Source organism: Homo sapiens, chromosome 6, assembly GCF_000001405.40.
Source record: "Homo sapiens chromosome 6, GRCh38.p14 Primary Assembly".
Classification (NCBI taxonomy): Eukaryota; Metazoa; Chordata; class Mammalia; order Primates; family Hominidae; genus Homo; species Homo sapiens.
The window spans coordinates 1,673,197-1,698,265 of record NC_000006.12 but is presented as its reverse complement, the minus strand read 5'-3'; the positions used below and the strand labels follow the sequence as shown (position 1 = coordinate 1,698,265).

At 43.4% G+C, this 25,069-nt stretch overlaps 1 protein-coding gene across 5 annotated transcripts in view; it reads left to right on the top strand.

Annotated features, from left to right (window-relative positions):
- GMDS (GDP-mannose 4,6-dehydratase) overlaps positions 1 to 25,069 on the top strand; it is a 621,800-nt gene that overhangs the window by 547,340 nt on the left and 49,391 nt on the right. Inside the window, exon 10 of one of the 5 annotated variants that reach the window (XM_011514502.4) lies at positions 7,692 to 8,331. The exons of the other annotated variants lie outside the window; for them this stretch is intronic. Within the exon in view, the coding sequence (XP_011512804.1) occupies positions 7,692 to 7,709 (18 nt within the window). The 3' untranslated portion in view covers positions 7,710 to 8,331. Of the gene's footprint in view, positions 1 to 7,691; positions 8,332 to 25,069 lie in introns of those variants that run through there. 5 annotated transcript variants of the gene reach the window in all.

Genomic DNA, 25,069 nt, shown 5'->3' with positions numbered 1-25,069 from the left:
ATAAATACTGCAGTGTATGTATATGTGTAGATACACACAAAGCTAAAGTATACATTCACCAAGATAAACTGTGCTTGCCAGGGCTTTAATCTCCCCAGGAGGCTGTTATTACTGGAGTCCGGCCCCAGAGCGCCAGCTGAGGAGAGGAAGTGAGACTCTGGTGTTGGGAGGCTGGGCGGCGCTCCTCTTTGTCTACTCTTTGCTTTTTAGAACATATACATAGCTAGCATTCACATGTGGCCACAGATGAAATGATATGCTTGACTCCCCTAAAGGTGCCTTTCTTGTCAGTGTGTTACTTTACGGAGATACTTTAACCTTGATCGTCCGCAGCCATACTGGATTCCCATGGAACAAGAGAGCAGGAAGTGCTTCCATCATATTTTCCCCGTTCAGTTTGAGCAATCCAAAATGGAGGGATCATGACAAAGGAAGAAAGCTTCCTCTCGTGAGCTTGCATTGTTTTAGTTCTCCTTGGCATCTAGTCTGACTTCTACTTATGGTCTGGACCAGTGGTTCTCAGACTTGCACAAGCATCAGAAACACCCAGAAGGCTCATTCAAACCCAGATTCCTAGGCCTGATTCCCACAGTTTCTGACTCGTGAGGTGTGCATGGTGCCCCAAATTTGTTTTTCTAACAAGTTCTCATGTGACGCTGATGCTGCTGGCCTGGTTTGGGGACCATACTTTGAGAACCATTGGTTCAGAACATGAGGCTGCAGCGCGCCAAGGTTTTTGCATTGTTTTCTATTAAGGAATAGCCTATAAGAAATAGGTTTCTAGCTTTTTAATTTTGTTACCAGCCTAGACTCTATGATTGACAGGGTGACCAGCTGTCCCAGTTTGCCCTGGGGCACAGGATTATTCTTGCTGAAAATGAGAAAGTCCTGGGCAACCTGGGATGAATTGGCCACCTTCACTATTGATCCAACTTCCCAAATGCTTTGTCTACATTGCTGGTATCTGGCTCGGAGGAAGCCCTGTGGGAAAGGCTGTGAGTGTGTTGCCCCAGGTTCCACAGGACACTTAGAGTTTGGGGGACACCTGCCGTCAACGCACTGCAACAATCTTTAGGGATGTTAATTGTTCCTCAGGAGGCATACGTAGGAATCACATCCACCTTAAACATGCCCACTTATGGCATTTGGGCTCACACAGCCAAACAGCTGCCATTGTCTGAAGTAACGCATGGGCTGTTGGGCTCCTACGGTGTGACAGACATACTTCTCTGCATCATCCATGTACCAGCCTGTTTTCTTCTCACTGCAGCCCAATCAGCTAATTATCATCATTTCCATCTTTCAAAAACAAATGCTTAAAGATGCCATTATTTACCCCAGGGTCACAGATGGTAAAAGTGACAGAACCACAGGCCAAACACTTGTTGTTTTACCATGTGACTCCAAGGAGCATGAAATCTGAGGCTCTTCATCCATGAGATTTTCCAGCCACTCACGTCCCTTCCTCTGTTGGAGATGAAGCCTCTCCAGAGTGGAAGGCAGTGGACCTAGCTTGGATCAGGATGCCTGGACTTTGCTCCTGCTTCTTCCAGATACCGGCTCTATGACTTGTATCAGGTCATCTTTTAACCCCTCTGAGCCTCACTTTCCGCATCTGTGAAATGGACATCATAATGTCTGCCTTACCTTCTGCCTTAGCTTGTCTTGAGGAGAAATAGAAATGATGTCTATGAAGCTGTCAGTAACGTGTGAAAGCGCTGTCCCTGTGAGCATATATGTGTTAAACCTTCTGTTATTCCAAAAGAGAGGTTTGGCACATCAACTCGAGGAATATTTACTTAAGTGGAGGAGAAACAAAGCAACTAAAGTAGCCAAAATTAGCAGTGAACAGAAGAAAATTCTCAGGAGGAAAATGGTTCTTCAGCTGGTTTTGCAAGGATTAGCAACATGTGTGTCCCATTCCAGAGCAGCAAATCACGGCGTAGGCCCTAGCCATTTTGCTCAGGGAGGACTGCGCTCTTCGGGAAAAGTTCTGTTGCAAGTCACAGATTATAGGTGTGTGGTAGAAGGCCAAGCCTGAGTTGTCACTTCCTCAGTGTCAAAGGGTCTCATTACATTTCATTACAGTGATTTTCTTTTTGCTGAAACATTAGGAACCCTGGAGCACTGAGCCAAGATCATGGAACAGAATCACCCTCTCCTGCATGTTTTTGTTTCTGTCTCCTGCTTTTCTGTTCTTTTTCCACTTTCTCTATGTGTGAGTTGACTTGGCTGCCTGTAGCTTCATCGTCAAAGCTGGTCCACGTGGGTTCAACTTGGTGCTCTCACTCTCCTCCAGCATTGTTTTTGTCATCAAAGCTAAAATTAAAAAAAAAAAAAAAGAAAAAAAAAAAAAAACCAAGACAGAAAAGAATGTTGTGATTGCCTTCTGGCCACGTTCAGCTTGCTCATGGAGCCACAGGCTTCATCTCAGCACTGTTTGTTCTCAGGGCCAAGTCACTGGAAACCAGGCTCTTAAGTTTGAGCCTGGAAAAGAACACGTGGGACTCTGAAGAGGCGGTGCCAGGACCTCAGAGTGACAGGGCAGGGTCCCTGCACACAGGGGCCTTGCAGGGAAAAGCACACATCTTCTGTTGCAGCCTTAAGGATTCTGCCAAGAGCTACTTCCAGACTTCATTTGTCATGGCCACATGCTGATGCTGATGTTGAGAAAGAACTGGCTGTTAGACGTTATCTACTGCTGCATGAGAGAGCCCTCTATGATTACCAATATAACATACAGAAAATCTGTGCCCTGTATGTCACTGTCACCCCTTCCTCTTCTGAAATAGGACACACAGTTGAACCATTCAGATGAAAAATAGTGCATTGCAAGGCCAGGATTACAGCAGTCTTTGCATTAAGATAACTATGATTTTGTAGAGGGGATTACTGATGTGAGGCCTCAAAGGTAGTTGAATTTCATTCTACCGTTTCAATGCTATTCATTGGTTCAGTTTTTACAGAAGACTCCAAATTTAAGATTCACTCACTGTGGAGATTTCTAACTCATATCAGAAATGAGGATCTTAAACAGTAGCCAGACTCTTCAGGATTCTCCACGTCACCTAGTGAACTGGTGGTATATTGTGCAGACGAGCTTTCCTGGACCCCGTCATGGGCTGCATTTGTCAATCCAAGTAAATGACCGTCCTCACACTTTTATCCTCAGGGAAGTTTGTTATTTTTTTTTAATTTGCTCATAGAAAGAAATATGACTCTGTTCTCTGTGTTTTACACTGAAGAGATACAGAATTAACAAGAAAACAAAGAAATTCTACTTGAAATGGCACCCTCCTCTGTGGTATTGTGAGGAAGCATTCCTTACTCAAAGAACGTTAGACAAACACCTTCCAAAGCAGGGTTGGCTCTGGGTCTTACTGCACAAAACTAGGTAGGAATCTATAAAAGTAATAGGTACTTTTCATTTGGACAGGTGTATGTCCTAGTTTAAAATTTGGTTATTGCTGCAATAAATACTATAAGCTTTTTCTAAGTTTATGTAACCTTCACGACGTAATTGTTTATTCACTAGATTGTGGGCAGATGAGAAATGTCATTCTGCCAACACACTCATTTATCCTATTTCCACCTCTTGCTATGCTACTAAAGCAAATATAACTCCTAGGGAGCACCTAGGCATATACATGTGTGCAGACGTGTGTGTATACACACATGGGCTTGACATGCCATTAAAAGCATATGTTTGATTTTAATAGGACTGATTTTTTTGACAAGCATATAAGAAGTAGCAAAAGTCTGGCACTGCCATTTACTGCAGTGTGACCTTAGACATGTCACCTACCCTTGAGCCTGAGCCTCAGTTTCTACTTCTGTAAATGCATACCACAATGACTACCTTTTAGGGTTGTTGAAAGAATCAAAAGCAACAGTAGTACCCAGTACATGATACTGTATCATTTTATTGATTTTAATATGCATATTGTTTCTTTTTTAACAATGCTAAAATTGAGATCCACCCTAAAATTAACGGCATCTAAAACACTATGCTGTGGTTTAATGGGTAGATTTTTTTCCTTCTTACGGACAGATAAAATAATAGTACCTCTTACAATCCGTAGCATAGTAGAATCAGTAAAAGAGAGTAATTGGCATCATTATGCTTTGTCAAGTCATCAGAGAATTATGTATTTTAACAATGCTACCATTGTTCAAACACACTTTGGGGGCCCAGGATCTTCTCTTTAGTGCCTTCAGAACTGCAGTGAATAAAAACAGTCTTTGGAATTGGAGAAACTTGTTTTCAACTCAGCCCTGTCACCTGCTAGTTGTATAACCTTGGGCAAGTTATTTGACTCTCTAAGTTCCAGTTTCCTCTTATATAAAATAAAACTCATAGTATTTGTTTTATAAGTTTGTTAGATTAAAATAAGAAAAATGTACATAAAGCACAGCCTACTTGGAGGGTACATAGCACGTGCTCAGTAAATGATAACAGAGAAAACAAACTAGTAACTGTGCTTGCTAGTAACAGAACTTTATCTTTGCCATTTTATTTTCCTGAAATAAGAAAAAGTAATCCAAAGTCAACCCTTGCCAAGTTGATGGCCGCATTGAGTGATACTAAACACTAGCATTAAGACAGCCACTTCCAGCCAAGATGGAGTGACAGGGACAGATTTGCCCTCCTGCCCAAAAGACAAAACAACAACAACAACAACAAAAATATATGGAAATATGTTTTTTAGTACACACTGGATGTCAGGCAACGGAGGACAGTAACCTCTGAGATACAGGAAACAAATGAGGTGAGCCCTTCGAGTACCCTAGCTCACTGCTGGGAGACTGAACAGGATGAGGCATGGGGACAGGATTCGGGCAGAGCCCAGCAAGTTCCCTAAGCTTAGAGGACAGAGTTCAGGGCAGCCGGACTGGTAAGAGAACGCAGGGCAGAGGTGAGGAGAATTGCAGTGATTGCTCCAGAGATCTGCAGAGGTGCCCCTGGAGCAGTCAGGGCAGTGCTGATCAGCACAGGAGGAAACTACCTAAGGCTGGGGAACAACCATCCAAAAGGATTAGAGGGAACAGTACTGAATGTTCACACAGGGCTGGGAAGGTGGCCTGTTTCCACCAGCCAGACTGGAAAAGATTAAAATCCACAGGGCATTGGTAGGGTGTTCGGAAGGGTCTTGCCTCTTAGAAGGGGCACTGGCTGCTCCAGACCTGCCTAACAAATCACGAAAGGAGGAGCCAAAAGTACCGCTGCTTCCAAGTAACATAACTGGGTCCCAGAAACGAAGTTCAAGAGTATGTACAGGAATACAAAAATATCTACTGCCCCAGAAGATAAATTTCACAATTAATGGCATCCAATAAAAAATTACCAAGCTTGCAAAGAAGCAGGAAAATATATCCCCTAAACAAGAGAAAAAGAACCAATCAAAATCAACCCAGAACTGATGCAGATGTTAGAATTAGCAGTAGAGATGTTAAACTAATTTTTAGAACCTTATTCTGTATGTTAAGAAAGTTAAGTAGAAGGAAGATATAAAGAAGACACTCAGATTGAACTTAAAGATGAAATCTATAATGTCTGTCATGAAAATTACATTGACATAATTAATGGCGTATTAGACATTGTAAAAGAAAAGATTAGTGAACTTGAAGACGTAGCAATAGGGACTATGTAATATGAAACAGAAAAACAGAATTTTAAAAAAATTAACAGAGAATCAGTTCTGGAGGACAACTTCCAATGCCCTAATGTATGTGTGTAATTGGAGTCCCCAAAAAGGAGGGGAGGACAGAAAAGATATTTGAAGAAATAATGCTAAACATTTTTTTCCAAATTTCATGAAAACTACGAACACAAATATCCAAGAAGCTCAACAAACCCTGTATTAGTCAGCATTCTCTAGAGGGACAGAACTAATAGGATAGATGAATATATGAAGGGTAGTTTATTAGGAGAACTGACTCACATGGTCACAGGGTGAAGTCCCACCATAGGCTGTCTGCAAGCCGAGGAACCAGGAAGCCAGTCCGAGTCCCAAAACCTTAAAAGCAGGGAAGCCTATAGTGCAGCCTTCAGTCTGTGGCCGAAGGCCCAAGAGCCCCTGGCAAATCACTAGTATAAGTCCAAGAGTTCAAAAGCTGAAGAACTTGGAGTCTGATGTTCCAGGGCAGGAAGCATCTAGCATGGGAGGAAGATGGAGGCCAGAAGGCTCAGCAAGTCTGCCCTTCCCATGTCTGCTTTTACACTGGCAGCTGATTAGATGCTGACCACCCAGACTGAGGGTGGGTCTGCTTCTCCCAGTCCACGGACTCAAATGTTGATCTCCTTTGGCAACTCCCTCACAGACACACCCAGGAACAATACTTTGCATCCTTCAATCCAGTCAAGTTGACATTCAGTATTAACCACCACAAATCCCAACAAAAGAAACATGAAAAAAACTGCACTGAGGTCCTTCATAATCATACAGCACAAAACCAGTGATAAACAAAAATGTTAAAGGTAGCCAGAGAAAAAGGACATGATATGTTTACATAGGAGCACAGATAGGATGCCATCTCTTTATTGTATGTTAATTATATACCTTAATAAAGCTGTTAGGGCAAAATAAATTTTAGAACACTGTAACTATACCATATAAAACTGCTTTTCTAATGTGCCTTGTAGACCCACTGTTAAGGCAGTTCCCAAAGGGACACTTAAGACGTATTTTGAACCAAGACTGGTATAGGTAATAGTAGACTTCTAAGATCACTTTATTTTTATTTTTATTTTATTTTAAATTCCGGGGACCATGTGCAGGATGTGCAGGTTTGTTACTTAGGTGAACGTATGCCATGGTGGTTTGCTGCACCTGTCAACCCATCACCTAAGTATTAAGGCCAGCATGCATTAGCTATTTTTCCTGATGCTCTCCCTCCCCCACACCCCCCGCAACAGGCCCCAGTGTGTGTGCCCCTCCCCGTGTCCATGTGTTCTCATTGTTCAGCTCCCACTTACGAGTGAGAACATGTGGTGTTTGGTTTTCTGTTCCTGCATTAGTTTGCTGAGGGTAATGGCTTCCAGCTTCATCGATGTCCCTGCAAAGGACATGAACTCATTCCTTTTTATGTTTTCGTAGTATTCCATGGTATATATGTACTACATTTTCTTTATCCAGTCTATCATTGATTAGCATTTGGGTTGAGTCCATGTCTTTGCTATTGTGACTAGCACTGCAATGAACATATGTGTGCATATATTTTTATAATAGAATGGTTTATGTTCCTTTGGGTATATACCCAGTAATTGGATTGCTGGGTCAAATGCTATTTCTTCCTCTAGGTCTTTGAGAAATTGCCACACTGTCATCCACAATGGTTGAACTAATTTACATTCCCACCAACAGTGTAAAAGCGTCCCTATCTCTCCACAGCCTTGCCAACATCTGTGGTTTCTTGACTTTAATAATCACCATTCTGACTGGTTTGAGATGGTATCTCACTGTGGTTTTGATTTGCATTTCACTAATGATCAGCGATGTTGAGCTTCTTTTTATATGTTTGTTGGCTGCATAAATGTCTTCTTTTGAGAAGTGTGTGTTTGTGTCCTTTGCCCACTTTTTAATGGAGTTGTTTGGTTTTTTTCTTGTAAATTTGTTTAGGTTCCGTGTAGACTCTGCATATTAGACCTTTGTCAGATGGATAGATTGCAAAACTTTTCTCCCATTCCGTAGGTTGTCTGTTCACTCTGATGGGGACTCAGGAATAAGACTGCACGTCTACAACCGTCTGATCTTCAACAGACCTGACAAAAACAAACAATGGGGGAAGGATTCCCTATTTCATAAAGTATTGGGAGAACTGGCTAGCTATATGCAAAAAATTGAAACTTGACCCCTTCCTTATACCTTACACAGAAATTAACTCAAGATGGATTAAAGACTTAAATGTAAAATCTCGAACTATAAAACCCTAGAAGAAAATCTAGGCAATACCATACATAGGCACGGGCAAAGATTTCATGACAAAAACGTCAAAAGCAGTTGCAACAAAAGCAAAAATTGACAAATGGGATCTAATTAAACTAAAGAGCTTTTGCACAGCAAAAGATGTTTTCTTTAAAACAAATGATGCTCAAATTATTTGTATATGTAAATGGGTGCCCAGTTTTTTGTGGGTTGGTTTGTTTGTTATTGTTATTCTTGAGACAAGGTCTTACTCTGTCTCCCAGGCTGGAGTGCAGTGATGCGATCTCGGTTCACTACAGCCTCTGCCTCCCGGGTTCAAGAGATTCTCCTGCCTTAGCCTCCCTAGTAGGTGGGATTACAGATGGGTACCCAGTTTTATTTTGATTAATAAAAGCAATCTTATTAATCAGTGGTCATGCTTTATGTTATCTACATATATTTCAACTTGTTTTCTATGCTGTTGTAAGCCAGTGTGAATACTCATTTATGATTAATCCAGGTATGCTCCTCTTGACCTAAGGAAATCACGCGTCTTCACTTTATTACAATTTTTCAGAAGACGTTTATGAGGTGATCATTTGCTAGACATTACAGTATATTAATCCTTTGCCAAGGTGACCGTTGAATTAGAATTGTAGACAATGTTGTTGGACAAAAATCCTGGGAAGATAAATAGTTGCAGGACAGAAAAGCAATAAGAAGGAGATTTGTGTGTCAGTGAGGGATGGGCTCAACCCTGAATTTTCAAGTTTACTTAGGGTTGCCAGGAACATATTTACTCCTAATATCCATTGTCTTATACCAGAAGATACAAATGTATCTGATTCAAAGAGGTGGTGTCATTTCTAACATTATATCTCTATTTCAGTTCCACACTGCTTGTTATTCAGGGGGAGTGTCCTACCTTGCTACATTGCTAGATGACATTACTCATGAGACAGATCATTCAAAGAATGAAAAGTTACTTTATAATGCTAGTGAAAGCTTTCAAGTATTCATTGTGAGGTAGGCCTACACTTGGGTAATTTTATGGGCTCTCTTGACTCATGTTTGCAGTATTGGGTGTGGAGCAGTCCGATGAAGAGGAAGAGAGAAGTGGTTGCAGAATCCTTCCCTAACTGTATTCTACCAAGTTTGAAGTATGGAATCCCACACAGGCCATTCCTCCTGCAACTCTACCATGGTTAAAAATATATATCTGACACAACCACAACCTCAGCTTGATTTAATAAAAATAACTTTGTGTCTGTCCATGTAAAAGGTCACTGGTGCTTATTATGGCCCAAAGGTTATCGTTTCAGAGCCTCATTTTTCAATGCAACCCTCATAGCAAGAACATGTTATAAGAAAGTAACCTCTACAGTAATGATCATCCACATCTGCATTCTCTAATGTCAGTTTTAAGTGATTTTTAGGGAAAATGGCTGATGTTGAAGTGCTATCATTTATTTCCCTTCCAAAACTTGCAGGAATATGTAGAGAGCTGACTTTAAAAAAATAAAATAAACTCACATTCCTCAAACAGATGCTGTCAATTGGAAAAGGCAGTACCCCCAAAATCTGCATATACCTCACAAGTGTTAGCTGGCTATCTTTATATAATAGCTACTGTATCCCATCTTGGTGCCTCTAATGAAGACCATTACAGAAATACGTTTAACATAAATTAAACTCTACATGGGAGTATTAAGTCCCCAGGCAAATTCTTTCTTTTTGGCTGGTATTTAAGATAAAGACCTCATGAGAGCTGCAGTGGATTTGTGACTCAATAGCTAAATATATGCTTTGAAGAGCGTGGAGAGGTTTCAGAGGAGAATCACGGAGAGGATGTAATGTAGAAACACACACAAACTTTAGAAGGTGGAGGGAACTGGAGTTGCTTGATTGCTGGAAGCAGATCCAAGTAGGAGGAAGAAAAAGAGGTAGACCAGCTTGTATTCCACACAGCACGCTCCACGTGCGTGACCATAGCAAGGTGCGGGGTTTCCACGAGCCGTCGTTCATCTGTGTAATGGGGGCAAATGCCCACACTTGAGAGTTTCTGAGACTGGTAGAGAAAATATGCTTGACACTTAGTAGGTGCTCAGCAAATGCTGGTATTCTTTTTGCTGAAACCCCAAAGCATCAGAGTCAACATTGACTCCCCTCCCTCTCTCACACCCCACAACTTATCCATCAGCGAACGGTTCACTCACTCTCCTTCGGAAATCAACCCAGAATCCAGCTGTGTCTCACCAGCCTCCCAAGCCCCGCTAAACAAAGCCGCCATCCTCTCTGCTGTGGATTTAAGAGCCTCACGGCCTCCATTCTTGCCCTCCTACAGCCCATTGTGAAGATAGTGGCACTTTTTACGTAAGTGAGACCACATTACCTCTCATTCAGAACCCACCTGTGGCTTTACAGCTCTCTCAGTGGAATTCCAGGTCCTTCCCGCAGCTTACAGTGTTCTCCATGACCTGCCCCGCCCCAACCTCACCCCGCTTAGCTCCTGCCCTCTTACCCCCATGCCCTCTCTCCAACCACACTGACCCTTCAGCTTCACCTTGGGGCACTGACACCTGCTCCTCCCCCAGAAAGTTAGAGGGCAGGACTGCTCCCCACACTCTTTCAGTCTCTGCATCAGAGAAGCCTCCGTGGCTTCTCTGAACCCCCCTCACGTTCTTCACCTGCCTCTTTGTGTCTCTCCTCCCGCTAGAATGGAAGCTGCATGGCTAAGGGCCCTGTCCATTGTGCTGGCAACTCTCTCCCTAGTGTCAAGGACGGTGCCTGGAACACAGGAGAAGGACGGTGCCTGGAACACAGGAGCTTGCTGATGGCCTGCTGAGTGGAGGAGTTAGTATTGGCCCTGGAATCCAATGGGAAGCGTTCTGGGCTGAAATTCAGAACACCTGGGGCCTGAATGCAGCTCCTGACCTTGATACCTACCACCTGTCTGATCTTAGGCAAGACCTTGACCTAGAACATTGGCCTCATCCTCCTCCCCTGGAGGTTGGAGGCCTGCGCCACTTCCAGGTCTGAAACCCAACCAGCCCGTGAAGTGCGGGAGAGTCTAGGTAGCAGGTGCTGTTCACGTCCTTCCTGATGTTCAAGCCTTGGGGGTGTTGCTGTAGTTGAACAGGAGCTCTTTCGTTTCTGTTATGGGAGTTTTTTGTCAGTGAGAAGGTTCGTGAACCTTGAAGGGGTTACTGATGTAGGTAAGGACATCTCTGGGGCCTGACAAACGGGGTGGCGCCTCTTGTCCTGGAAAATATTATAGTTGTGATTTTGCCTAAAACTGAGGATGGAGTTCCAGTCCTACTTGTGATTTTAAACATTTGTATCTTCCTTTAAGTAAATATTATTTGGGATGCAGGAAATGAAGTTTTGGAATATTTCAACAGATGGCGCTGCTGGTAGCTATTATCTGACTATAAAAATTAAATTTAATCCTTACTAATTTCAGTAATTTCATTTAAAAAAATTGTATTGCCTCCAAGGATAACACATTAGTTTGTTTAGTCCTTTATCTTACCAGTACCTCAGAGTGAATGGTTTTAACCCTTTTATAAAGCATTGCCAGCCCTGCAACCTGGGCAGCTCAATTTCAGAAGTTGCTGCGTTAATGTACTGTGCACTGTGACTCAGTGCTGTCATAGAAAATGTGCCAAAATGCTTTACTCAGAGGGAAAGATGGTTTGCATATAAGTACATTCCATTATGGCTTATGCCATAAATACAAGCCAACCCGGGGGGGATCTATTTAGATCCTTTAAATAGATGCAAATATTTTCTTAAATGGTTATACAAAGACAAATACTGTGACTAATCAGTGGACACAGAGAAAGATGCGTGCTTGCTAGAGTCTAAGGAGAAAATGTTTTGCAGAGAATGATGGCCAAAGTGTCAGAGATCCCAGTGACACTCACTCATCAGCTTCCCCCCACACCCTCTCCAACCATTTCCAGTTGGTCTTCCAGCAAGACCATTTTAATTATGTAGCCATGCACTTGCTTCTGGGTGTGGTTTCCCTGATTGCATACTTAAGTGCAGATTACAAATATTTGGCAGGATTCCTTCCTCTGTGGGAACCAGACAAGTCATAACACCAACTGAACGCTCTACACTGTTGTGCGGGAAAGAGGCCGCGTCATCTCGGGTTTCAGAGTGCAGAGCAGGAGAAACTGGCTTCAGTTCTGCTCCTCTCTCACAGCCACATGCCCCCAGCCAGCAAAGGGTCTGTAATGAGGGCTACAGACTTCGCTTCTTCTGCCACCACTGTAACCAGACCCACGGCCAAAAAGAACCAGCCAGAAAGCCCAATGTGGAGCGACTTCTTGTCTCAGAAAATGACTCCACGGCCTGTGCTTTATGGCATGATCACCCAGAATGCTAGAGAGAAATTAAGATTCGGGCATGCACGTCTATGCCAAAGGAAGACTTCACCAGGGGATATTCAGGAATTCACTGATAAGCTTAAGAAGATTTTTGCAATTGTTAGCTCTTAAAATCATTTTTAATTAGTGAAGCAGAGAAATGCTGAGTGAAACAGCCATACTTTTCCCCAACTTGATTGGGAAAATCTCCATCCTGTGCCCCTCCATTCCTTCCCATCCTTCCTCTTCACTCCGTTTTTCCTGGTAAATGTTATGGCCACGTTCTGAGCAACCAACCTCCCTGTGCTCTGTGCGGCCAGCTTGGAACTGCAGGTGGGGGAGGATGGACACCCATTTCCTGTCTCCCAATCTGGGAATCCATGGGCATAAATCTGCAAACGCTGGCATAGTCATTGTTGGCATGAATGGAGACGAGGAATATATTGTCAGCAGGCCTTTGAATTTCATTTTCAGATTAAACAGTTTTTTTTAATTAAAAAAAAACCCTTACTAAAGTCGCTTAGCAAACAAAGAGCTATACTGTTTGCATCATTGAAAACAGAAGAGCAATAGCAGTGCCAGATACTCCTCTATTACTTTGTTTGTTTGTTGTTTTTTGTTTTTGAGATGGAGTCTCGCTCTGTCACCCAGGCTGGAGTGCAGTGGCGTGATCTCGGCTCCGGCCTCAGCCTCCCAAGTAGCTTGGATTACAGGCATGTACCACCACACTGGGCTAATTTTTTTGCTGTTTATAGTAGAGACGGGGGTCTCACCATGTTGACCAGGCTGATCTCGAACTCTTGACCTCAAGTGATCTGCCCACCTCGGCCTCCCAAAGTGCTAGGATTACAGGCATGAGCCACCGCACTCAGCCTCCTCTATTACTTTTTAATTCAAGTGTCTCAAGGTGCTTTACAAGTGTTAATTAAGTCTACCTTTTTTTTAAGGTGGGTAAGTAGTTAAAAAAAAAGGGGGGGGAGAGAGGGAGCAGTTTTGTGTCATAGTATTTGAAGGAGAAAAGCAACACTTAAGCCTGACATCATTGTGGCTTCAGTGGCAGGCACAGGTTGATAATTCTAAATGGCAACTAACAGGAAGAGGATGAATAATTTACTGTGTATATTTACTTGGTGCCAGGTGCTGGACTCGGTTTAACCCCCAGCTTTAATGAGGTATAATTTATTTAAAATAAAAATCACCCACTAAGGGTGTACATTTGATGAGTTTTGGCCATATACAGTTGTGTAACCATCACCACAGCCAAGACAGGACCATCTCCAGCCCCAGCAAAAAGCTCGCTCCTCCTGCTTTGTAGTCAGTCCTGCCCCCAACACCGCCCCTTTTCTGGTCACTGTAAGTTTAGAATGTTGTGTAAATGGAATCCTTCAGTATGTGTCTTTTGTGCTGGCCTTCCTTTACCTGGCACAATGTCATTGAGATTTACCATGTTCCCCGGTGTGTCTGTTCGTTCCTTTTCATTCATTTCATAGTCTTCGTTCGTGTGGATGCATTGCCGCACAGCCGTTCACCTGAAGCTCATTTGGGTTGTTTCCTTTGGGGATGATACGAATGTTGCTGCTGTGAACATTTGCATTCCTGGTTTGTGTGGACATGTGTTTTTATTGCTCTGGTTACATACGTTTGAGTGAGCCCACGGTTCATCTGGGAAGTATGTCTGTGGCCAGGCTCAGGCTGTTTTCCACAACCGCTCTGCCCTGTTGCATTCCCACCAGCAACACGGGAGACTTCCAGCCGCCCCACATCCTGGTGTTTCCATACGACTTCAGCGGATGCTCACACAGCACGGTGAAGTCACTACTTCTGTGACTCCCACTTCACCAAGGAGGAAGCTGAGGCCTGAAGAGAGTGAGTGGTGTAAAATACAAAAAAAATAGCTGATAGAGGGCGGATCCAGGTCTACTGATGGCAAAACCCACCCTCATAGCTGATAGAGGGCGGATCCAGGCCTCCCGATGGCAAAACCCACCCTCATAGCTGATAGAGGGCGGATCCAGGCCTACCGATGGCAAACCCCACCCTCATAGCTGATAGAGGGCGGATCCAGGCCTACCGATCGCAAAACCCACCCTCTTTCTATTACAGTATAAAATGTGTTATGCCTCAACTTAGAAAAACTTCTGTTCATAACCTAGAGGACATTAGGACAGGTGCAGTGTGATTACCTGAATGTCAGAAGCCAAGAGCCTACTACTTCATCTCACGAGTTATGAAAAGTTGAACGTGTCCAAGGGAACTTTCTAAACTAACTAAAAATCAAGTTTAGGAAAAACACAAGTGAGACAAAAGCACCTCTCATGTCTAAAGGTTTTTCCCCCAAATGCGTGTATCGTGTCATTTCTATGTAATAACCGATCCTCATCCTTGAAAGCCATGAGGGCAGTGGTCACATCCTATTTGCTAAAGGTGGGAGAAGATGGTGCATCAGACCCGGGATTCCTGGCCCTCTCACATGTTTCCCACCAGAGTTTCTTGGGTTAAAATAATTTCTCCATTATGACAGGGCTTGAGGCAGATATCCTAAGACCTTTAAAACTAGAGCCATCCAGGCCGCGCGCGGTGGCTCACGCCTGTAATCCCAGCACTTTGGGAGGCCGAGGCGGACAAATCACGAGGTCAGGAGATGGAGACCATCCTGGCTAACACGGTGAAACCCGGTCTCTACTAAAAATACAAAAAACTAGCCGGGCGTGGTGGCGGGCGCCTGTAGTCCCAGCTACTCGGGAGGCTGAGGCAGGAGAATGGTGTGAACCCGGGAGGCAGAGCTTGCAGTGAGCCGAGATTGCACCACTGCACTCCAGCCTGGGCAACAGAGCAAGACTCTGACTCAAAAAACAAACAAAAGAAACCTAGAGCCATCCCTGGAGTAAAATGTGTGCTGTAGGAGCCAGTCCCAAAGAGACAGGATGTCGACGTCGGCATAGTGAGACTCCCACGTGCTCACCCACGTGCGTGGTTTTACCCCGTCTCCATGACCCAGCCACGGGTCTTATATTGGGGGCTTCTAGGACCAACTAGGCCAATAGAAGTGCTTTCTTTAATTGAATTAAAATGTCAGTAAATTTCACCCAAATATCCAGATTTCCCTTTCTAAAAAAATGAGGCCGGGCGCGGTGGCTCACGCCTGTAATCCCAGCACTTTGGGAGGCCGAGGCGGGCGGATCACGAGGTCAGGAGATCGAGACCATCCCGGCTAAAACGGTGAAACCCCGTCTCTACTAAAAATACAAAAAATTAGCCGGGCGTAGTGGCGGGCGCCTGTAGTCCCAGCTACTTGGGAGGCTGAGGCAGGAGAATGGCGTGAACCCGGGAGGCGGAGCTTGCAGTGAGCCGAGATTGCGCCACTGCACTCCAGCCTGGGCGACAGAGCGAGACTCCGTCTCAAAAAAAAAAAAAAAAAAAAAAAAAAATGAAAGGCCATCAGCACTGGGGCAGATTCCTCACTGACTGGCCTGCCCGCCTGCCTGGCCTAGTGGGCACACAGAGTCCCCGGTCCTCCCAGTGGCAATGGCACCAGCATGGCCAGAGGGCACAAGCCTCAATCTCTTTCATGTGGGCTGACCAGAAATGCCAGCAGTGAGGCTGAGCTTGGTAGCAGTGGAGGCCTGAGGAGGCGGGGGTTGGCAGAGGAGCTCGTTTGGGCTCAGACACTGCTGCCTCTTTCTGTCTGAAGGTGTTATGAAGTGTACCTATCTTTTGGGACATAGATTCCTTTTACTCCTTCCTTTGTATTTGTCATAAAATAAATTATAGAATAAAATAAAGACATATCATGAAATTACTCATAATTGCATTACTTGGGAAGGTAAAACATAGGTATTTAACAAACATCAAAGTTTTGGGAGGAAAAGGCATTTCATAAACCTAGACATACGCAATACTGAAGGCCAGGAGACTTGTAAGTGAAGGGGCCATACCGTGGAGCCAGGTCTTCTAAATCTAAATCTCATATCTTTCCATATTAAGAAAAAAAAAAAGCCAGGCACAGTGGTTCACGCCTGTAATCCCAACACTTTGGGAGGCGAAGGCAGATGAATCACTTGAGCCCAAGAATTGAGACCAGCCTGGGCAACATAGCAAGACCTTGTCTCTATAAGAAATACAAAAATTAGCCGCACACTGTGGTGCGTGCCTATAGTCCCATCTACTCAGGAGGCTGAAATGGGAGGATCACCAGCGTGCAGGGAGGTCAAAACTGCAGTGAGCTGTGATCGTGCCACTGCACTCCAGCCTTAGTGCATTTCTGCACAGACACACTGAGTGGTGTTTTGAAAATCAGATTCACGGCATTCTCTTTAGCACCTTCCAGCACTTTATGGTGGGGGTTGCTGGTGAGATCCCCTGGCCTCTCTGCCTGGGGCTGCCAGGGAGCTGGCGGATGCCACTCTCCACCGGAGGCCTTCCCTGGCAGTCGTAGACTGTTCCCACTGTGCGCCTGGGTCTACCGCCTGGTCCTCCTCACCTGGAGCCACACTGATTTCCATCTTGTCCTGAATGGCAGAGCTTTCATAATTTCTTACAACCTCAGATTCTGACCTCTGTAGGACCACTTTCTTCTTGAGCCATTTTGGGACTGTAGATGCTAGAACACAGCAGATTGAAAATGCAGTGACATATCCCACCATGTAACAGAATCTGTAGTAAGATGTCACCCATGGCAGCCAAGCAGAAGCTTTTATCACAGCCCAACAAGTACCAGCGTGTCTTGGCGGCAGGGTGGCAGGACACTGTGAGGAGGCAGGTGTGTAGACACAGTCCTCTTCTGCATTGGCACATGCCCTGTGCTCATCGCCTCTCGGTGGGGGAGGTGTGTGTGTGTGTATATAGGTGTGTGTATCTGTAAGTGTGTGTATTTGTAGGTGTACGTATGTGTATGAGTGTGTTGTGCACTTGTGTGTGTATGTGTGAGCATGTGTATGTATATTCGATGTATGTGAGAGTATATTTGTGTTACTTCTTTCTTTTTATCCTCCCTGCCGAGGAGGCAACAGTAAATGTGAACGGTGAGAGAGAACAGACTAGTTGTTACATTCTGTCTCACCCACTGATGTGACTTTTCTTTAGGAAACATCATCCAGGGTAACCTGTCATGAAAAGCTGCCTTTTAGGTCACTTATGTCCATTTCAGAAATGGCAAGGGCTCTGGGCATCCACCAGGCACCAGGCCCTATTATAAGAAGACCCCTTTGCAGTCATCTTTTTGTGGTTTGTTCAATGGGCACATGCTGGGCAAAGGCACTTACCAGGCAAACCATTATGTGGCTCTGGCGGCTCAAGTGATGCACCTGGAACATACGCCGTTCATGACACTTTGCCTTTATGGGCCCCTTTAACTCGAGGATCTCAAAGGGCCTCAGCAGTATGACCTTGCGTGTCCTGGCCGGGCGCCCAAGGGAGGGAGGCCAGAAGGTCCACGCTGCTTTCCGTGTGAGAAGTCAGGTCACGGTGCCGGATCAGAACTAACACCTGGCCTGCACCCTCATTGGTGTGGTACTTTGGAAGGCAGAGGTATAAGAGGAGAACTAGCAATGTTGGCAAATGCTGATAGTTGGGGTCAGGATCCCAAAACATTTAAATTCTGATAGGGGTCAGGCCCTGTTTATTTACTGCCACTCAGCTCTCTGCCTGTCCTGTTCATTAACCTGATGACTTAGAGTCATGTCTGGATGGTTTGGAAGGTGCCACGAGGAAGCAGGTGGATGAAGGGCGCACATCAAGAATTCATGGTAGCACAGAGAAATGCCTCATATAAGTGAAGTTCACCTCTGAGGCCCGGTCTTTGAATATCTGGATGCCTATTTTCTTAGGCAGTAGAATTTCCTCTTTGTGACCAGCTGAAAATATCATCTACAAAGTGCGCGTAATTTCAGTGTACAAGACTTAGCCTAATGTGTGAAATTACAGACTAGTTGAAATTAATGATCAATTTGGCAGGTATTTGTTCAATGTGGCTATGGCTTATCCAGGCTGTGACATCCAAGAACAATATATTTCATTGTCAATCTTTTATTTTGTTTTCTTTCCTTTTTTTTCCTTGTCTCCAGGAGACCAATTAATTGTTCAAAGGTAATATATAGAGATCTCAAGAGCATTTACTTTGGCACAGTCTCTGCCCCTTTGTGGTCTGGCTAACAATAAAGCTAAGATTTGTTTTGTAATGACGGTTCCAGTTGGACTGGAATTCCTTTGAAGTTCCTGAAGTTTGCTGTTGTGAGAGCTCAAGATATTATTTGACTGCAATGAAACACTCTCTGTGTATTATCAAAATATCGTATACACTGAACTGTAACAACTTGCAGTAATCAGACTTCTCCTTCGAGGTGGCCTGCGTGAGTAGAGAGCATCCACAGAGAGATGAGCTTCTCCCAACATCCATTTAGTGTTCAGTCATCACGGGCCACTCATGGATCTGAACCTTCTTACAAGGTCGATACCAACAGGTATGAGGAGCAGAGAGCAGATCAGCACGGAGCAGCATTAGCTGGGGCCCCCTTGCCTGGCCTGGCAGTGAAGATAGAGCACCATGCCAGTTGTTCAGCTTCTCAGCGCTTGCGTCAGCTGACCTAAATTATTTAAGGATGTTGTCACCTCTAAATAAATATAGTCATTGTCCTGGTCTCTATTTATATTTTAAAACTCTTTCCCAGCCCACCCCGATGGCCTAAAACAATTCATATATTTCAGTAGAAGAGGGTGTCACAGGGCTATTTGCACAGGTTTGGATCCAGTGCCAGCGTTAGCCTTCACACAAGTTACACTCCTCTGAGATGTAACTGTCTCCTGTGTATGAGTGCCAAAGTATTTGATAACCGCCATCTGTCTGCTCTCAACACAGGTTTCACAAGCACAGTGATGTCTTCCATTGTGTGCGTAACAACTGTGTGTGTGCGGAGAGAGAGGACTCTGTACGCATGCACATGTTTGGAGCTACATAAATCTGAGAAGCAGTTTTGTCTAGTGTCGTTTCAGTAAATGGGACTCATTTAGTCAGTTTGCTTTGCTGTCAGAATCATATTCCAGATATCAGAATGTGCTATGGCAGGTACTTGTTTAAAACAAGTAATAATATCCTTGTAATGTTTAGCAATACAGCTGACTGGTCTGTGTTCCATTACTTGTGTAAAAGGAAATATGTAAAGCTTTTAAAAATAAGTTTAAATGATCAAAAGAGATGCCTGAAAATATATTTTGGCACAGGAAATTACAGGAATTTATAAATGTGTCATGTGGAAAGATAATTACAAAGTTTATTTTAATCTTTTATCTCTGACTGAATCTTAAGTTAAAATATTCTTCCCGGCATCCTGTCTGGTTTTTGCCACTGTCCCTGCTTTACGTGTTACCTTTCCATGTTGATCTGAGTTGCATTTAGTTGAGGAGAAAAAAAAAAATAAAAGTCCATTGAACTCACTTCTGATTCCAGCCCAACTTGTAAGGAGCAAGGAAGTTGTCACTCAGCCCCCACAACAAGAAGAAAGCCAAACACACTGAAAATCAGCAGCTCTTCCTGGTTCCTTTAGTGAATCAAGGTCACCAGGGAACCAGGCTGCTCAAATCTGAGAGATCGATGGATACAAAGAATCAGAGCTTGCCAGGAGCAGCAGCTGCCACTGGAGCCAGCATTGGGTGGGAACATTGGGAGGGTGATTGACTAAGGGCTACAGACGCGGTGTGGACTAGCTTGAGGGGAGACCTTTGTTAGGGAGAACAGAGTCCTCTGGGTATATTTCAAAATGGTTACTTTTCTCCTCCTCCTGCCAGAAGCACAGGGGATTTTTTCCTGATCTTCGCCTTGAGAACCTACTAAGGGGTAAAACTCACGCAAGTTGTGGGGTCCCTCCTAAGGCTGGCCACCAAGAGTTTTTGATCTCTCAAGCTAATAAAAACCAGAGCAGCAATTAATAAAAATGAAAACAGGAAATTACAAATATAAAAAGTTAAAGAAGTTCCATCACTATTAATCCCATCGATATGAGAAGGCTAACAAAGGAATTTTTTTATTCAAATGTTTTTATTTATTTTTTTATTATACTTTAAGTTCTAGGGTGCATGTGTACAACGTGCAGGTTTGTTACATATGTAGACATGTGCCATGTTGGTGTGTTGTACCCATTAACGCGTCATTTACATTAGGTATATCTCCTAATGCTATCCCTCCCCCCTCCCCCCACCCCACGACAGGTACCGGTGTGTGATGTTCCGCACCCTGTGTCCAAGTGTTCTCATTGTTCAATTCCCACCTATGAGTGAGAACATGCGGTGCTTGGTTTTCTGTCCTTGCGATCGTTTGCTCAGAATGATGGTTTCCAGCTTCATCCATGTCCCTGCAAAAGACATGAACTCATCCTTTTTTATGGCTGCAAAGTATTCCATGATGTATATGTGCCACATTTTCTTAATCCAGTCTATCATTGATGGACATTTGGGTTGGTTCCAAGTCTTTGCTATTGTGAATAGTGCCACAATAAACATACGTGTGCATGTGTCTTTATAGCAGCATGATTTATAATCCTGTGGGTATATGCCCAGTAATGGGATGGCTGGGTCAAATGGTATTTCTAGTTCTAGATCCCTGAGGAATCGCCACACTGTCTTCCACAATGGTTGAACTAGTTTACAGTCCCACCAACAGTGTATTTCTCCACATCCTATTTCTCCACATCCTCTCCAGCACATCCTCTCCAGACCTGTTGTTTCCTGACTTTTTAATGATCGCCATCCTAACTGGTGTGAGATGGTATCTCATTGTGGTTTTGATTTGCATTTCTCTGATGGCCAGTGATGATGAGCATTTTTTCATGTGTCTGTCGGCTGCATAAATATCTTCTTTTGAGAAGTGTCTGTTCGTATCCTTTGCCCACTTTTTGATAGGGTTGTTTGATTTTTTCTTGTAAATTTGTTTAAGTTCTTTGTAGATTCTGTATATTAGCCCTTTGTCAGATGGGTAGATTGCAAACATTTTCTCCCATTCTGTGGGTTGCCTGTTCACTCTGTTAGTTTCTTTTGCTGTGCAGAAGCTCTTTCGTTTAATTAGATCCCATTTGTCTATTTTGGCTTTTGTTGCCATTGCTTTTGGTGTTTTAGTCATGAAGTCCTTGCCCATGCCTATGTCCTGAATGGTATTGCCTAGGTTTTCTTCTAGGGTTTTTATGGTTTTAGGTCTAACATTTAAGTCTTTAATCCATCTTGAATTAATTTTTCTATAAGATGTAAGGAAGGGATCCAGTTTCAGCTTTCTACATATGGCTAGCCAGTTTTCCCAGCACCGTTTATTAAATAGGGAATCCTTTCCCCATTTCTTGTTTTTGTCAGGTTTGTCAAAGATCAGATGGTTGTAGATGTGTGGTATTATTTCAGGGACTCTATTCTGTTCCATTGGTCTATATCTCTGTTTTGGTACCAGTAGCATGCTGTTTTGGTTACTGTAGCCTTGCAGTATAGTTTGAAGTCAGGTAGTGTGATGCCTCCAGCTTTGTTCTTTTTGCTTAGGATTGTCTTAGCAATGCGGGCTCTTTTTTGGTTCCATATGAAGTTTAAAGTAGTTTTTTCCAATTCTATGAAGAAAGTCATTGGTAGCTTGATGGGGATGGCATTGAATCTATAAATTACCTTGGGCAGTGTGGCCATTTTCACGATATTGATTCTTCCTATCCATGAGCATGGAATGTTCTTCCATTTGTTTGTGTCCTCTTTTATTTTGCTGAGCAGTGGTTTGTAGTTCTCCTTGAAGAGGTCCTTCACATTCCTTGTAAGTTGGATTCCTAAGTATTTTATTCTCTTTGAAGCAATTGTGAATGGGAGTTCACTCATGATTTGGCTCTCTGTTTGTCTGTTATTGGTGTATAAGAATGCTTGTGATTTTTGCACATTGATTTTGTATCCTGAGACTTTGCTGCAGTTGCTTATCAGCTTGAGGAGATTTTGGGCTGAGACAATGGGGTTTTCCAAATAACTTCTTCTTGGTTTAGTCTTGAGAGGGTGTATGTGTCCAAGAATGTATCCATTTCTTCTAGATTTTCTAGTTTATTTGTGTAGAGGTGTTTATAGTATTCTCTGATGGTAGTTTGTATTTCTGTGGAATCGGTGGTGATATCCCCTTTATCATTTTTTTTTTTTTTGAGACAGAGTCTCACTGTGTGGCCCAGGTTGGAGTGCAGTGGCGTGATCTCGGCTCACTGCAACCTCCACCTCCCGAGTTCACGCCATTCTCCTGCCTCAGCTTCCCGAGTAGCTGGGACTACAGGCACCTGCCATCACACCCGGCTAATTTTTTTATATTTTTAGTAGAGATGGGGTTTCACTGTGTTAGCCAGGATGGTCTCAATCTCCTGACTTCGTGATCCACCCGCCTCGGCCTCCCAAAGTGCTGGGATTACAGGCATGAGCCACCGCACCCAGCCAGCTAACATTATACTTGATGGTGAGAAACTAGATGCTTTCCCCCAAGATCAGGAACAAGGTAAGGATGTCCCTTCTTCCACCACCATGATTCAGTGTTGCACTGGAAGCCCTTTCTAATACAATAATGTAAGAAAAGGAATAAAAGGCTTGCAGATTTGGGAAGGAAGAAATAACACTGTCTTTGTCTTTCACAAGTGACATAATGGTCTATATAGAAAATCCCGAAGAAACAACCAAAAAAAAAAAAAAATCCTGGAACTAATTTATAGCAAGGTTGCACGATACAAGTTTAATATACAACAGTCAATTGGTTTTCCATATTCTAACAACGAACGAGTGCAATTTTAAATTTAAAACAATGTATCAGCACTTTGGGAGGCCGAGGCAGGCAGATCACCTGAGGTCAGGAGTTGGAGACCAGCCTGACCAACATGGAGAAACTCCGTCTCTACTAAAAATACAAAATTAGCCAGGCGTGGTGTTGCATACCTGTAATCCCAGCTACTTGGGAGGCTGAGGCAGGAGAATCGCTTGAACCTGGGAGGTGGAGGTTGCAGTGAGCCGAGATCGCATCATTGCACTCCAGCCTGGGCAACAAGAGCAAAACTCTGTCTCAAAAAAGAAAAAAAGAAAGAAATTTAAAACAATGTAATTTACATTAACACCCCCAAAAAAGAAATAGTTGTAAGTCTAAAAATTATGTGTAAGATCTATTTGAAGGGCCAGCCATGTTGGCTCACACCTGCAATTCCAGTACTTTTGGAGGCCAAGGCAGGCAGATTGCTTGAGCCCAGGAGTTCAAGACCAGCCTGGGCAACATGGTAAAAATCCATCTCTATTAAAAAAAAAAAAAAATTAGCTGGGTGTCCCAGCTACCTGGGAGACTGAGGTGGGAGAATAGCTTGAGCCCGGGAGGTTGAGGCTGCAATGAGCCGTGTGAATGCATCACTGCGCTCCAGCCTGGGCGATAGAGCAAGACTATGTCAAAAAAAAAAAAAAAAAAAAAAAAGAGAGAGAGAGAGAGTTGATGAGTTGGAACTTCAGAAAAATTAAAAACTTCTGCTCCATGAAAGACACTGTTAAGAGTGTGAAAAGACAAGTAGACAAGTCAAGACTGGGAGAAGAAGCTTTGCAATACACATAGTCAGTAAAGGACTGATTATCTAGAATGTACAAAGAACTCTTAAAACTCAACCACAAGAAAATGAACAACCTGATTTAAAAATGAGCTAATAGACACCTCACCAAAGAAGATATACAGATGGCAAGTAAGCATATGAAAATATGCTCAGCGTCATACGTCACTAGGGAATTTAAACTAAAACAACCATGAGATACCACTACAATCCTATTAGAATGGCAAAACATTAGAATACTAACATCAAATGCTGACTAGGAGGAGGAGCAGCAGGAACTCTTGTTCATTGCTAGTGGGAATGCAAAAGGTTTAGACACTTTGCACGAATGTTTGCAATTTCATAAATAGCACGATGGTTTCACTACGCAATCAGCAACCTCGCGGCTATGTATTTACCCAATTAAGTTGAAAACATGTCCTCAGAAAAACCTGCGCATAGATGTTTATAGCAGCATTATTAATAATCAACCTAAACTGGAAGCAAGCAAGACATCCTTCTAATGGATCAACTTCTGGTACGTTCATCCAATGGAATGCTCTTCAGTGATAAAAGGAAATGAGCTATCAAGCCATGAAAGGCCATGGAGGAACCTTAAATGTATGTCGCTAAATGAAAGAAGCCAGTCTGAAAAAGCTGAGTACTGTATGATTCCAGCTATATGACATTCTGGGAAAGGCGAAACTATGGAGAGAGTTAAAAGATCAGTGTTTGCCCAGGGTCCAGGGGAGGGATAGAGGAAGAGCACAGGGGGCTTTTGTGGCAGCAGAACTATTCTATATGATATAGTAATGGTGGATACATGACATTATACGTTTGTCAAAATCTGTAGACTCATGCCATGGAGTGAACCCTAATGTAAAAATCTATGGATTTTAGGTAATAATAATATCAGTTCATCAGTTATAACAAATATAACACTCTGAGATATATTGTTAATAGGGGAAATTGTGCAAGAGTGGGGTGGAGGAAAGGTCCTGTGAGAACTCTCTGTACTTTCTGTGTAGTTTTTCTATAAAGCTAAAACTGCTCTAAAAATACTAAGTCTATTTAAAAAAAAAAAAAGCCCTTTGGTAACCTAACTGAGGAGAAGTCACGAAGTTGAAAAAAACTGAGTCTCCTCATGCCAAAAAAGTAGTGGGATGGAGGGGAATGGATGTGGTCCCCTGATCACTTGGCCCTGCAATTTGTTGAACCAAGCAGCCACAGTGTTGTGCAGGCATCGGTCAGCTGAGGA